Source organism: Homo sapiens, chromosome 4 (assembly GCF_000001405.40).
Source record: "Homo sapiens chromosome 4, GRCh38.p14 Primary Assembly".
Lineage (NCBI taxonomy): Eukaryota > Metazoa > Chordata > Mammalia > Primates > Hominidae > Homo > Homo sapiens.
This window is the reverse complement of record NC_000004.12, coordinates 41,025,999-41,038,907: the sequence shown is the minus strand read 5'-3', so window position 1 is coordinate 41,038,907 and position 12,909 is coordinate 41,025,999. Positions and strand designations below refer to the sequence as shown.

General features: G+C 38.3%; 1 protein-coding gene across 51 annotated transcripts in view; it reads left to right on the top strand.

Moving 5' to 3' along the window:
• The window catches only part of APBB2 (amyloid beta precursor protein binding family B member 2), a 404,516-nt gene that overhangs the window by 175,635 nt on the left and 215,972 nt on the right, over positions 1–12,909 (top strand). For 49 of the 51 annotated variants that reach the window (XM_047450191.1, XM_047450181.1, XM_047450169.1 and 46 more), the window contains one exon: positions 5,604–5,672. The exons of the other annotated variants lie outside the window; for them this stretch is intronic. In XM_047450191.1, the coding sequence (XP_047306147.1) occupies positions 5,654–5,672 (19 nt within the window). In that variant the 5' untranslated portion in view covers positions 5,604–5,653. The remainder of the gene's footprint in view (positions 1–5,603; positions 5,673–12,909) is intronic. 51 annotated transcript variants of the gene reach the window in all.

Sequence of the window (12,909 nt, the reverse complement as noted above, 5' to 3'; positions counted from 1 at the left end):
GGTTCTACACATAGGTGAGCATCTGATACCTGTTTATTACGACTGCTGGAATAGTCATACCTGAGAATTTGCTTATTGAAATGTTTCCCTCCTTTTTTTCCCCCTTTTCTGGAATTTATGTGTTCAGATAGGTTATATTATCTGTGAATATCACTTTAGGATAATAAAGGGGTTATTATAAGCTATTTGTTATAGAAAGGGAGTATTGGGTTTTATAGCATTGCATTGAGTTTCTAGGGAAGTAGCTATTTGAAGGTAAAGAGGATAAATGAGAGATTCTAGAATCAGTTGGGTCTTAGATTGTCAGTGGTTGAAAGAACTTAATTCTGGAGATTTTAGATAAGGTGGTGATTGTGACCAGAGCAGTGTTTATCTGGCATTGTAGATCTGCGATAGATCCGGGACAATGTATGGGGAGGAATTAGACTGGCTGTCAGGGGAGGAGTTATGGGACTGTGCAGGACTGTTTTAAAAATGGGTTGGACAAAGAGCTAGGCACATTGAGAAGGAGGAATTGGTCAGACTTGTTTGGCAGTATTTGGGGAACATAGGTAAAATGTAATTGTTTGTCTGATTTTTATTTAAATCTTTCATTCCTCTTTAGAATTATTTAAAGGTACATAGCATCTTTTACTGAATCAAATGACAAGAGGGCATTTTATTTATTTATCTATTTATTTATTTATTTATTTATCTGTTTGCTTAATGGTGCTTTTGTGATTTGGGGTTGCAAGCTCTCTCTGTGGTCCTGTTGGATATTTATTGATCCCTAGTAGCATTATCATAAGGCATATCAGCATTAAGAATTTTCATTAACGGGACATGTGGAAACACTGCTAGAAGGAAACTATTGTTGCTAGACTGTTTCACCTAGGTAGCTTTATGCTTTGCCCCAAAATCACAACTGTATTCTCAGTGTAGAACTTGTAGTGGCCTGCCATTAGTCCCCAACAACTCTAAACTCCGTATGTCATTTTTATGGAAACAAGGACTCTCCTCTCAATGCTGACAAAATTTCTAGCATGCAGCACACTGGCTAATTTTTGTATTTTTTGTAGAGATGGGGTTTCACATGTTGGCCAGGCTGGTCTTGAACTCTTAACCTCGTAATCCACCCGCCTCAGCCACCCAAAGTGCTGGGGTTACAGGTATGAGCCATCGCACCCAGCCTAGGGTAAAGTTTTGAATTTGTCTACATTCTCTAGATCAGGACTTCGCCAGTAGAAATAGAATGCAAGCCACATTAAGTAATTTAAAATTTTCTAGTACCACGTTAAAAAATGTGGTACTAGACCTTGAATTTTTCGGGTGGAGACCAGGGATGATAAATGTCTTGCAGTCCTTAGGACTACCCTGTACAACAAAGATTGTGTTATTCTGCAAAGCTTTTAAATACCCTAGCAAATATTCATGTAGTTAAATAACTTTTTTGTATAATTATCTAACCCTGGAAATTCTAAACATGGTTTTAATATACGCTATGTATTCCAGAAGTAGAAACTTTTAAAAAGGTGAAATTATTTTTAACATGTTTTATTTAACCTAATATAACCAAAATATTATCGTTTCAACATGCAATCAATATTTAAAAATTATTAGACATTTTACATTTTTTCCACGCCAAGTATTCACAATCAGCGTGCATTTTACACTCACAGCAATCAACTTGGATGCAATATTCATTGGAAATACTTGATCTGTATTTAAATTTCATAAAATTTAGAGTTGAGGAAGTAGACTCACCTACCTAAGAAGTTCCAAACCTACTTAAATGTTTTCCAATAAGAGTCAAATATCAACTTATAAATCTGTATTTAAATTAATTGTAGTTAAATAAATTCAGTTGTCGGTTGCGCTACCTTTTAAGTATTCAATAGCTTCTAGGTACTAGTAGACAGGGACTGTATTGGACAGCACAGCTGTATATTGTTCTTAAAAGCCATCATTTGTATAGTGTTTGCCTATTTTCCAAGTGCTGCTTTGATATCTTCTCAGGTTATTGTTTATGTAGAATTAGTCCATGCCCCTAAGTTCCTCTCAGAAACTGTTTTAATTAGATGAGATTCATTCATCAAGGATATAAGTGTCTAGGGGAAAAAGTTCTGCATAGTTGTACCTCATCCCCAGGGCCAGGAAATGCCTTGCACATTCTAGGTGTTTAATAAATGTTTATCTACCTAAATCCTAGTTGGTCCTCAAATTGCACCTTAAATTTGACTTTCTCAGGAAAGCATTTCCTGACTCTCCAGTCTGGCCTGTGGTTTTTTGTTGCATTTTCTCTTACACCTAAGTTATTTTCCTCCAGAACTTATTTATGTGAGTAACTTTGTGATTAATATCCATCTCCCCAACAACTAGGCTGTAAGTTCCACAAGACGGTAAATGTGTTTTTACTCACTAAAGTATCCCCTGCTCCTAGCATAATGCATGACACATGGCAGGTATGGAGTAAATATGGGTCAGATAATAACTCAGGGCTATTTATAATATAAAGTCATTAGCAGAATGTCTAATTCTTAACTTTATAGAAGTTGGAGTTTGTTTGGTCAGGGAAACAGGAATATTTTATTTTAAGGATTATATACACTAAGGACAGTCATCCCTCGGTATTTGAGGGGGATTGGTTCCAAGACTCCCTTCAGATACCAAAATCTGGGGGTGCTCAAGCCCCTTAAATAAAGTGGTGTAGTATTTGCATAGAATCTATGCAACATCCTCCTGTATACTTTTTATTTTTTAATTATTTTTTAGAGATAGGGTGTCACTCTGTTGTCCAGGCTGGAATGCAATGGTGCAATCATAGCTCACTGCAGCCTTAACCTCCTGGGCTCAAGTGATCCTTCCACCTCAGCCTCCTGAGTAGCTGGGATACAAGTGTGTGCCACCCCACCCAGCTAATTTTAGTATGTTTTGTAGAGATAGGGTCTCGCTGTGTTGCCCAGGCTGGTCTCAAACTCCTGGGCTCAGGTGGTCCTCCCACCTGTGTCTCCCAGTGTGCATGAGCCGCTGTACCTGCCCCTTCCGTATACCTTAAATCAACTCTAGATTACTGATAATACTTAATACAATATAAATGCTATGTAAATAGTTTTGCTGTACTGTATTGTTGAAGGAATAATGACAAGGAAAAAAAAGTCTGTACATATTCAGTACAGATGCAACCATCACAGGCCTAACTTTCTGATCCTCACTTGGTTGAATGCATGGATGTAGAACCCGAGGATACGGAGGGCCAACTGTATGTAGATTCTTAGTTTTTGTTCAAGCCTTTTCAGAATGCTCACACTAGTATGCCTTTTTTTGACTTTCTCTCTACTGGTATTCATTTTCTTGAGTATCTATTACTTCATCTCTTTCTCTGCATAGCATTTAATGTACTGAAGACAAAAACTAAAATGTAAGAAAAGGAAAATGGAATTGTGAAATATGTTTAAGGAACTGAGCAGAAAGTTATAGGGCAAAGACAGAGGAGCACAGAGGAGGCATCACTTGCTGTTTCAGGACAGTTTAGAATAAACCCACCCTTTTAATTATACCAGAGTAATGAGCCTTACCCACAGTTTGTGAAAATATAATTAACAATGTATCTTGGTTCAGTAGACCAGGCTGTCAGGTCATTATCAGAATCATAAATTTGGAAGTGATGCCCATTAAAGGTTGCTAGTTTGGAAAGGTTAGATTAGAATTTAGAGCTTTTGCAAATATAAAGGTTTTTCAATTTAAGTTGTGCTTTAGAAAACCTCTGGCATTTGATTTTTTTCTTTTAACTTTTCATGGAAGTGCATTACGCATATAGAAATGTGCACGTAAGAGCACAGCCTGATGAATTTCCACATCTCAATGAAAAAAACATGACATTCTCAGTGTCCCAGAAGCCACCCTTTTGCTTCTTCCCTACCCCACCCCCATCATCCTGATATCAATCTGTTTTTCCTGTTTTTGTAATTCATATAAATAGAATCATACAGTATCTGTATTTGACTTAATATAACATGTTATCATTCTGAGTGACATTCCTGATGGCAACTCATTGAAAATAAGGTCTATTTTCAGTTTTCCTTATTATGTATTATTTTGTTAAACTGGCAGCTTACCAGTATTTCTAGATCTTTCTATTCCTTTAAGAAATTTTCCATGTAAATGCATGTGCATGTGAGTATACACCTAGGTGTGTGTGCACATGTATTTATATGTGTACGCTTTTTAAAAATGTTACTCAAATTAGATCATGCTTTGCTATGCATATTCTTCACCTCTTGGTGATGCATCTTAAAACCCTTTTTGGCCAGGTGTCGTGACTCACACCTGTAATCCCAGCACTTTGGGAGGCCAAGGTGGGCGGATCACTTGAGGTCAGGAGTTCAAGACCAACCTGGTCAACATGGTGAAACGCTGTTTCTACTAAAAATACAAAAATTAGTTGGGCGTGGTGATGCGCGCCTGTAATCCCAACTACTCGGGAGGCTGAGGCAGGAGAATAGCTTCAACCCGGGAGGTGGAGGTTGCAGTGAACCGAGATTGCGCTATTGCCCTCCAGCCTGGGTGACAGAGCCAGACTCCGTTGCAAAAAAACAAAAAACCAACAACCCCTTTTATATAGGCTCTTGTAGATCCACTTCATTTTTCCTAAGGGCAGCATGGTACTTCATTGTATGGGTGTATTATCATCTAATGAACCAGCTGTGCACTGAAGAACATCTAGGTGGTTACTGGTCTTTTGACTTCAGAAGAATAGAATCCACGTTAGCTTGTCTGTGAAACAAATTATCAGAAGTGGAATTGCCGAGCAGTGGGATCCATGCATTCAAAACTTGCTCAGATATTTGTAAATGGCTCTCCAAAGAATTTTGCCAGCTTTTACTCTCACCAGCAAGGTTTGAAACTTCCTGTTTCCAGTGTCCTGTCCTTAGATTGTGGTATTATCTGGCTTATTAATCTTTCCAGTCTGATATAGGAAATCCAGTTAGACATTGTTATTTAAATTGGTATTTTCTTAAGTTTTGAGTGAAGCTAGTGATTTATGTTTATTCAACATTGGTGTTTCTCTTGGGACTTGTTTCTTTTCTTATTCTCCTACAGACTTGTTCATATTTTTCTTAATGGTTTTAAGGAACTCTTTCTATATAAAGGAAATTAGCCCTTTTATGTCATCTGTGGTGGTAATTTTTTCTTCAGTCTGTTTTTTGCTTTTATCGTGTTTATAGTCACTTTTTTTCTAAACAGATGGTTTTAATTTTTACGTGGCAAAATGTACCAATTTTTTTTTTTCTGTAGTGGTGCTGAATTGTGTGTGTGTGTGTGTGTGTGTGTGTGTGTGTGTGTGATGAGAAAAAGCATTGGAAACTTGAGACAGAAAGGTAGGTAAGGCCTACCATGAAAAAAATCCTCAATAAATGTTTGTGGGAAATGTGACAAAGTAGGAATTCAAGTTTCAATCAAAAGTGGTATGACCAACTATAAACAAACAAAAATTTGGACATTATCTGCCAAAATTTGTTTGGTATATATAACAGCTTTTGGAGAGATTTTCACTGCTATGCTTTTCTTTCTTTTATGCTTTGTTATTTGGAGTTTTAATTTCTCAAATGATCCCTTCTTTTTAGATTTCAAATTATAACCTATTTCCTGCACCATTGCTGACGCCTGGTGATCCATGTCAGAAGTACTTCCAGGTCAGATACATTTTCTCATATTTCAATGCAGAGAAGCAGTTGAATATTAAAACTTAAAAAAAGATAATGTTTAATGTTAAACTTATGATTTGCTAAAATAACATGTTTTTTAATTTCATTGTTCTTCACTAATGTAATAGAAAAATGAATCTTGGCCGGGCGCGGTGGCTCACGCCTGTAATCCCAGCACTTTGGGAGGCCGAGACCGGCGGATCACGAGGTCAGGAGATCGAGACCATCCTGGCTAACACGGTGAAACCCCGTCTCTACTAAAAATACAAAAATTAGCCGGGCATGGTGGCGCGCGCCTGTAGTCCCAGCTACACGGGAGGCTGAGGCAGGAGAATGGCGTGAACCCGGGAGGCGGAGCTTGCAGTGAGTCGAGATCGCGCCACTGCACTCCAGCCTGGGCGACAGAGCGAAACTCCGTCTCAAAAAAAAAAAAAAAAAAAAAAAAGAAAGAAAAATGAATCTTTAAAATCAAGTACAAGAATTAGTTGGACTTAACCATATTTGTGTAATAATTGCATGAATACTTATATCGTAATGTAAAAATATTTTAGTTGACTATGACAGGAGCTTAAAACTGTCAAATTTTACCATCTAGCATTGTACATTACAGCCTGGGTACTGCTGAAATGTCAACAAAGGAGTAGGTGTTGGTGTTGCGTTTCTCAATCTGCATCTTATTAATAGCTTGTAGAGTTTGCTTAGACAGAAACCCCCCCCGCCCCCAATACTGAATGTATTCTCCTTGGGTCTAATCAGCAGATTAATTTCAGGCCTTAGGAAAACAACCTTAATTTTATTGTGCATCCCTTTTTTGGTCTCATGATAGATGCTAGTCTACATACAATGTGGTGTGGGATTTAATCCCTAGCCTCACAGTTACATAATAAGGAAAAAGCAATTGCAGAAACATTTCATATTAAACATCATATAGGACTTCAAGTGACAGATCTGGATAGATTTCATATTTATTAGGGCACATATTGCTCAGCAAGTTCTGAGTTTTTAAATAAGTAGATTTAAGCCATTGGCAAATAGATACTAATGTCCCTAAATTCTAAACTTATTATTAAATATAATCAAGCTGTTTTCTCCTTTATATGACATTTTTCATGTTATATTTCAACAAAGAACTAAAATAAAACATAAACACTAAGCTCAGCAGAGGTATATGAGAGGCAACAAATATTCTTTTATAAAAAACAGCCAAAAACTATGACAAACCTGAGTTTACACAGGAATATCAGTGTCTTAGAGCTGATTTTTAGAAGCCATATAATCATAGTGTGATGATTTGGGGAGGGTATGGATTTTGTCAATACATATTTTGTCAATACGTATTGAATAGATATATGAATTTTGGAAAAATCAAAATAAATACGTATGTTCTTTAGAAAATAGATTTTAAATGTTGAGAATAATTCTTTTAGGGATCCTTTAACTTTTAAAATCATATTTTTATGAGATAGGTTATTAATAGATTATTATTATAGTCTTATCTTCAAGGTACTCTAGTATGAAAACATTAAAATAAAGCTGGCAAGTGTATAAAATGATGTGTGTTCCTCTAAGTGAAGGTGGACTAATCAAATAACTTCTAGAAATTTCCTGTTCTTGCTATATTTTGTTATGCTGATGTTTTCATTCTTCATGCTGGTGCTCAAACAGCTTTATTCTTTGGTGGTTATAACGTAAGAGATACTGGAACAGTTATCTAGCCTGGTTTTTAAATAACAGCTACTACTCTCATGCATCGGTATGACATATAACACATTCTACAGGGAAAGAGGTATTCCTAGTTCAGTGGAAAATCCTATTCCAGCCATTTTTTTCACTTGAAAATTCAAATGGCGACTGATGAGAGAGGGTCTTGACTAATAAGTGGGGTAAGGTTTGCCTTCAGCTCCTTTTTCTAACTCTAGGGAGCTGTGACTACAGGGACATCTTTTAAAAACAAACATGCCAGAATTTATTTATTTATTTATTTATTTAAATTTTTTTTGAGACAGAGTCTTGCTCTGACACCCAGGCTGGAGTGCAGTGGCACAATCTTGGTTCACTGCAACCTTTGCCTCCCAGGTTCAAGCGATTCTCCTGCCTCAGGCTCCCGAGTAACTGGGATTACAGGCATGTGCCATGATGCCCAGCTAATTTTTGTAATTTTAGTAAAGACAGGGTTTCACCATGTTGGCCAGGCTGGTCTTGAACTCCTGGCCTCAAGTGATCTGCCCGCCTCGGCCTCTCAAAGTGGTAGGATTACAGGTGTGAGTCACCACGCCCTGCCAAACATACCAGAATTTATACCATTGTCTGCCTCTGAAACTCCTATTGGCCCTTCACGATTCAGCTCAGGAGTGCCTTCTGAGCAGGCCTTAGCCCATGATATCAAGTAATTACCCTATTTTAAGGATCCTGTTATTGTTTAACATTTTTTCCCTTTCAGAATGGATTTGGGGCCCAGCTTATCAGTAGTAACTCAAGAAAATATGTGACATTTCTTTATAGCTCACCTACTTTTTTTTCACCTAAACCAATATTCTCAAGCTGGATCATCATCAGGCTTGCCCGTAAGTCTAGAGCTCTATTAAAAAAAAATTATCTTTGAAAGTCACTGAGGCTTTATTAAAGAATGGAAACAGCTTAGAAATTGAGCAGGGAAGAGAGCTAGGTGTAGTGGTGCATACCTGTAGCTCCAGCTACTTGGGAGTCTGAGGCGGCAGGAGGATCGCTTGAGCCCAGGAATTTGAGGCTGTAGTGCATGATGACTGTGCCTGTGAATGCACTCCAGCCTGGGCAACATAGTGAGACCCTGTCCCTTAAAGTAAAAAAGAAATTGAACAGAGAAAATGACCTTGGAATATAATTTCCAAAGTTGACTACTCCAAAGGTCTTAATTCTTACTTGAATATACACATTCTGCTTGTGCTTCCTAAATAACTGACCATCACATCTGCCAGGTGTTATGTTGGGAATGGCAAGCTTTCCCCCATCTGGAATGCCTTTTTCTTTCTTGTCCACTGCTGGGCTCCTTTCCACCCTTCAAGATCCGGCTCAGCTCTTCTTTTTGTTTTGAGATGGAGTCTAGCTCTGTCGCCCAGGCTGGAGTGCGGTGGTGCGACCTCAGCTCACTGCAACCTTCGCCCCCCGGGTTCAAGTGATTCTCCTGCCTCAGCCTCCCGAGTAGCTGGGACTACAGGCATGTGCCACCATGCCCGGCTAATTTTTTGTATTTTTAGTAGAGACGGGATTTCACTGTGTTAGCCAGGATGGCCTTGATCTTCTGACCTCGTGATCCGCCTGCCTCAGCCTCCCAAAGTGCTAGGATTACAGGCATGAACCACCGCGCCCAGCCAGCTCTTCTTTTTGTGGGAAGCCTTCCCTGAACCTCTCTCCTCATCCCTAACATGGTGTTCTCATAAGACCCTCTGCCAACTTCAGCCATTGTGAGTTTGTGTAATCTGATTTTCTGCCAAATCTGATTTTCTTTTTTAGAAAATAACATTTCTTACTTATTTTTTATAATCGACAAATAAAACATGTATATGTTTATTGTGTACAACATGTTGTTTTGAAATGTGTATACATTGTGGAATGGCTAAATCAAGCTCGTTAAGATTGAGTTTATTAAAAAGTATGTGATACATCTGTCTTAAATCTCAGTTCCACTTCAAACATTGAACAGAGTGAGTCCTCAGGCAGTTAAGTTTAATGGGACACAAGAAACCCTCAAGTGGGTAAGATCTGATTGTATCTGACACTCTGCATCAGCAGTGTGACATTGCTCGCCTAGTTAGAATATTCTGAGGTTCAAATCCTCCCATCTCCCTGGCCCGGTGACCCAAGCTGCCTTATTGATAACTTTTGCCTCTTTTGTTCACAGAGTTCTTATCATTTTTGTCACATTGAAGGTTTCCTTTCATGAGTAGTTTCGGGAAGCCAGCTTTATTTAGCTTCTCCCTCCTAAAAGGAAAAGAAAAATCAGAGTTTATTTCATTTCCTTAATATTTTGTAATCTAGTTCAAACAGTGACATTCCTCAGGGTAGGTTTCACTATTAACTCCTCAGTGGAAATGAAATTGTATAGCAGAAAAATAAAAATGAAGCAAATGTGAAGTTTCATTCAAGCATGGGGCAAACATTGGTCTTCCTTTGGCCCATTTATCAACCCTGGGCCCGTTTGTCAGTTTCCAATTTTATAAGCATGTCGCGGGAGTAAAGGGAGAGCAGCAGGTTATTGAAGAGAGAAGTTCTTGTCATTACTCACAAACTCTTTCTTTGACAAAAGGCTAAAGGTCTTAGAAAAGGGAAAAGGAGGAGGGGGAAAGCCAGGTTTAACCACAGGATGCAGCACAGGTTTGTATTAGGATGTGGTCCGAGTTACAGGGCCAGTAGGCCTGGTTGTATCTGTGCTGGGGCCTTTGTGGCTGGGATCGAGAGAAGCTGGGCAAGTCATGAAATTAGAGTGATCCTGGCTTATCCAGTTTTGTTTAGGTTTCATAAAAAATACTTTGTGTATTAACGAGGGCTCTTTTAGTTGCAAAACAGAGAAAACCTAGCTCCAAGTGGCTTAGGCAAAATAAACACATAAATCTATCGACCTGAGAAGTCCAGCAGTATCATATTTCAGGCATGTCTTATTTTAGGGATTCAGTCATTAGGGCTTGCACATTTTCTCTCTGTCTCTTGGCTTCGCTTTCTTTGGTACAGTCATGCTGGGCAGGTTATCTCCTCATGGTGACCCCTTGAAGCTCTAGGCTTATATCTTCTAGTTCAAGAAAAAGAGAAAACAGAGCACCACTCTTACCTTCTGGCAAGTCTCATGGTTGGCTTCATGTGGGTCATAAGCTTTTCCTTGAACCAGCCACTAGAGCCCTGGGGATTTGCTACTGTGATTGGCTGTGCCTTGGCCATGTGCCCCCTGAAATAAGGAGTACAATCATCTCTGCCTGAAACACATGGGCCTAATCCCTAGAGTGTGCGCTCTGCGCTCCATAGGTATCTTTACTTTGTTGGTTTTGTTCACTGCTATATCCTCAGCACTTAGAAGCATATATGGCATGGAGTAGTGCACAAAAAATATCTGTTGAATGATTGAATGGGTGTAGGGGAAGGCTGATTCCCCTAGAAAATTTGCGAGGCTTTTAACAGAAAAGGAGGAAACACGTGCCAGGCTATAATAGATGTTCCTTCATCATGCATGCAGGAGAGCAATGACAGCAGTAATATTAGCTCTTGTCACACTCTTAAATCTGAACTTATACCCACCTCTGGATTAGGAATCGATCCTCTTGAATTGATGTTGGAGCTTCATAAATCACACTCAACATAGCATGATGAATAGACGTGGAGGGGATGGCAGAATCACTGGGGGACCCATCCACCTGCCAGGAATCCAAGAGAACCACCTTTATGCTAAAGACTAACCCTCATTGTTACTGGCATTTTGGTTATTCATTCCTCATTTAGTTTTGCTTATTTTGTTCACTGCTGTGTTCTTGGCCTTGGTATACATAGTAGGCTCTTGGTACATATTTAATGAATTAATGAGGAAATGAATTAAGGAGTCAAAAAACATTTATTGAGTCTTATTACATGCTAGACTTTATAATAAAAGGAACTGGAAATTCTGGAAAATGAAAGGGAAATGAAAAGCATAGCCCCAGTGAAATACCATTTCACACCAACTAGGATGGCTATAATAAAAAAGACAATAACAAGTGTTGGCAAGGATGTGGAGAATTTAGAAGCCTTATACACTGTTGGAGGGAATGGAAAATGGTACAGTGGCTTTGTACTACAGTCTGGGAGTTCTTGAAAATGTTATATATATATATATATATATATATATATATATATATATATGTAACAATATGTTTATAAAAATATAAAAATGTGTGTGTGTATGTACAAAAAAGTTACTGTACTCAGCAGTTCCACTCCTGAGTACACACCCAAGACAATTGAAAATGTGTTACTGAAACACCAGGGGTTCAGTCTAGGTCCTGCTGCTCACTGCACAGAAAGCCAGATCACTGAGAGGGCAGGTATTGCTAAGGAAGAAGGCTTTAATCGGGTGCTGCAGCTGAGAAGATAGGAGCTCAGTCTGAAATCCATCTCCCTGACCAACTAAAACTAAGGTTTTATATAGTAGGGAAGAAATGAAACAAACTGTAACAAAACAGGATCTAGGTAGGAGCAAGGAAGCAATTAGGATGAATGAGGGTTCCCCCATCTCATTGTCTGGATGCAATGATCTGGTGAGTTTCAGTTCTTTGATACTTTTTTTTTGAGAGACCTGAAGGTCATTTCCTGAGGAAGGATCTCAGATAAACAAATATAAATTTCTTTTAAGACCAGAAGGGTCAATTTCTATGTTTATCAAAAAAAGCTATCTGTAGGACTATTGGGTCAGTTTTACATATCCATAGAAGAAAAACTTGTATATGAGTGTTAACTCATAATAGCTAAAAACTGAAAACAACCCAAATGTCCATTAACCAGTGAACAAATAAAATGTAGTATAGCCATACAATGAAATATTATCCAGCCATAAAGAGGAATAAAGTACTGATACATGCTACAACATGGATGAACCTTGAAGATACAGTAAATGAGAGAAGCCAGTCACAAAAGATCTCATTATATGATTCTGTTTATATGAAATGTCTATCATCACCAAGTTCACAAAAACAAAGATTAGTGTTTGCAGGGGTTGGAGGGAGGGACGAATGGGTCGTGACTGTTAATGGGTACAGGATTTCATTTTTGGTGATAAAAATGTTCTTGAATTAGATAGTATTATTGGATGCACAACTCTGTGAGTATACTAAATAGCACTGAATTGTGTACTTTAAAATATGGTATATAAATTTATGATATAAAAATTTTTTAACTTTTAGGTTCAGGGGTACATGTGAAGGTTTGTTACATAGGTAAACACATGTCATGGGGCTTTGTTGTTCAGATTATTTCATCACCTAGGTATTAAGCTCAGTACCCAATAGTTATCTTTTCTGCTCCTCTCCCTCCTCCCATCCTCCACACTCCAGTGTTTGTTGTCTCCTTCTTTGTGTTTGTAAGTTCTTATCATTTAGCTCCCACTTATAAGAGAAAATGTGCTACTTGGTTTTCTGTTCCTGCATTAGTTTTCTAAGGATAATAATCTCCAGCTCCATTCATGTTCCTACAAAAGACATTATCTTGTGCTTTTTTATGGCTGCATAGTATT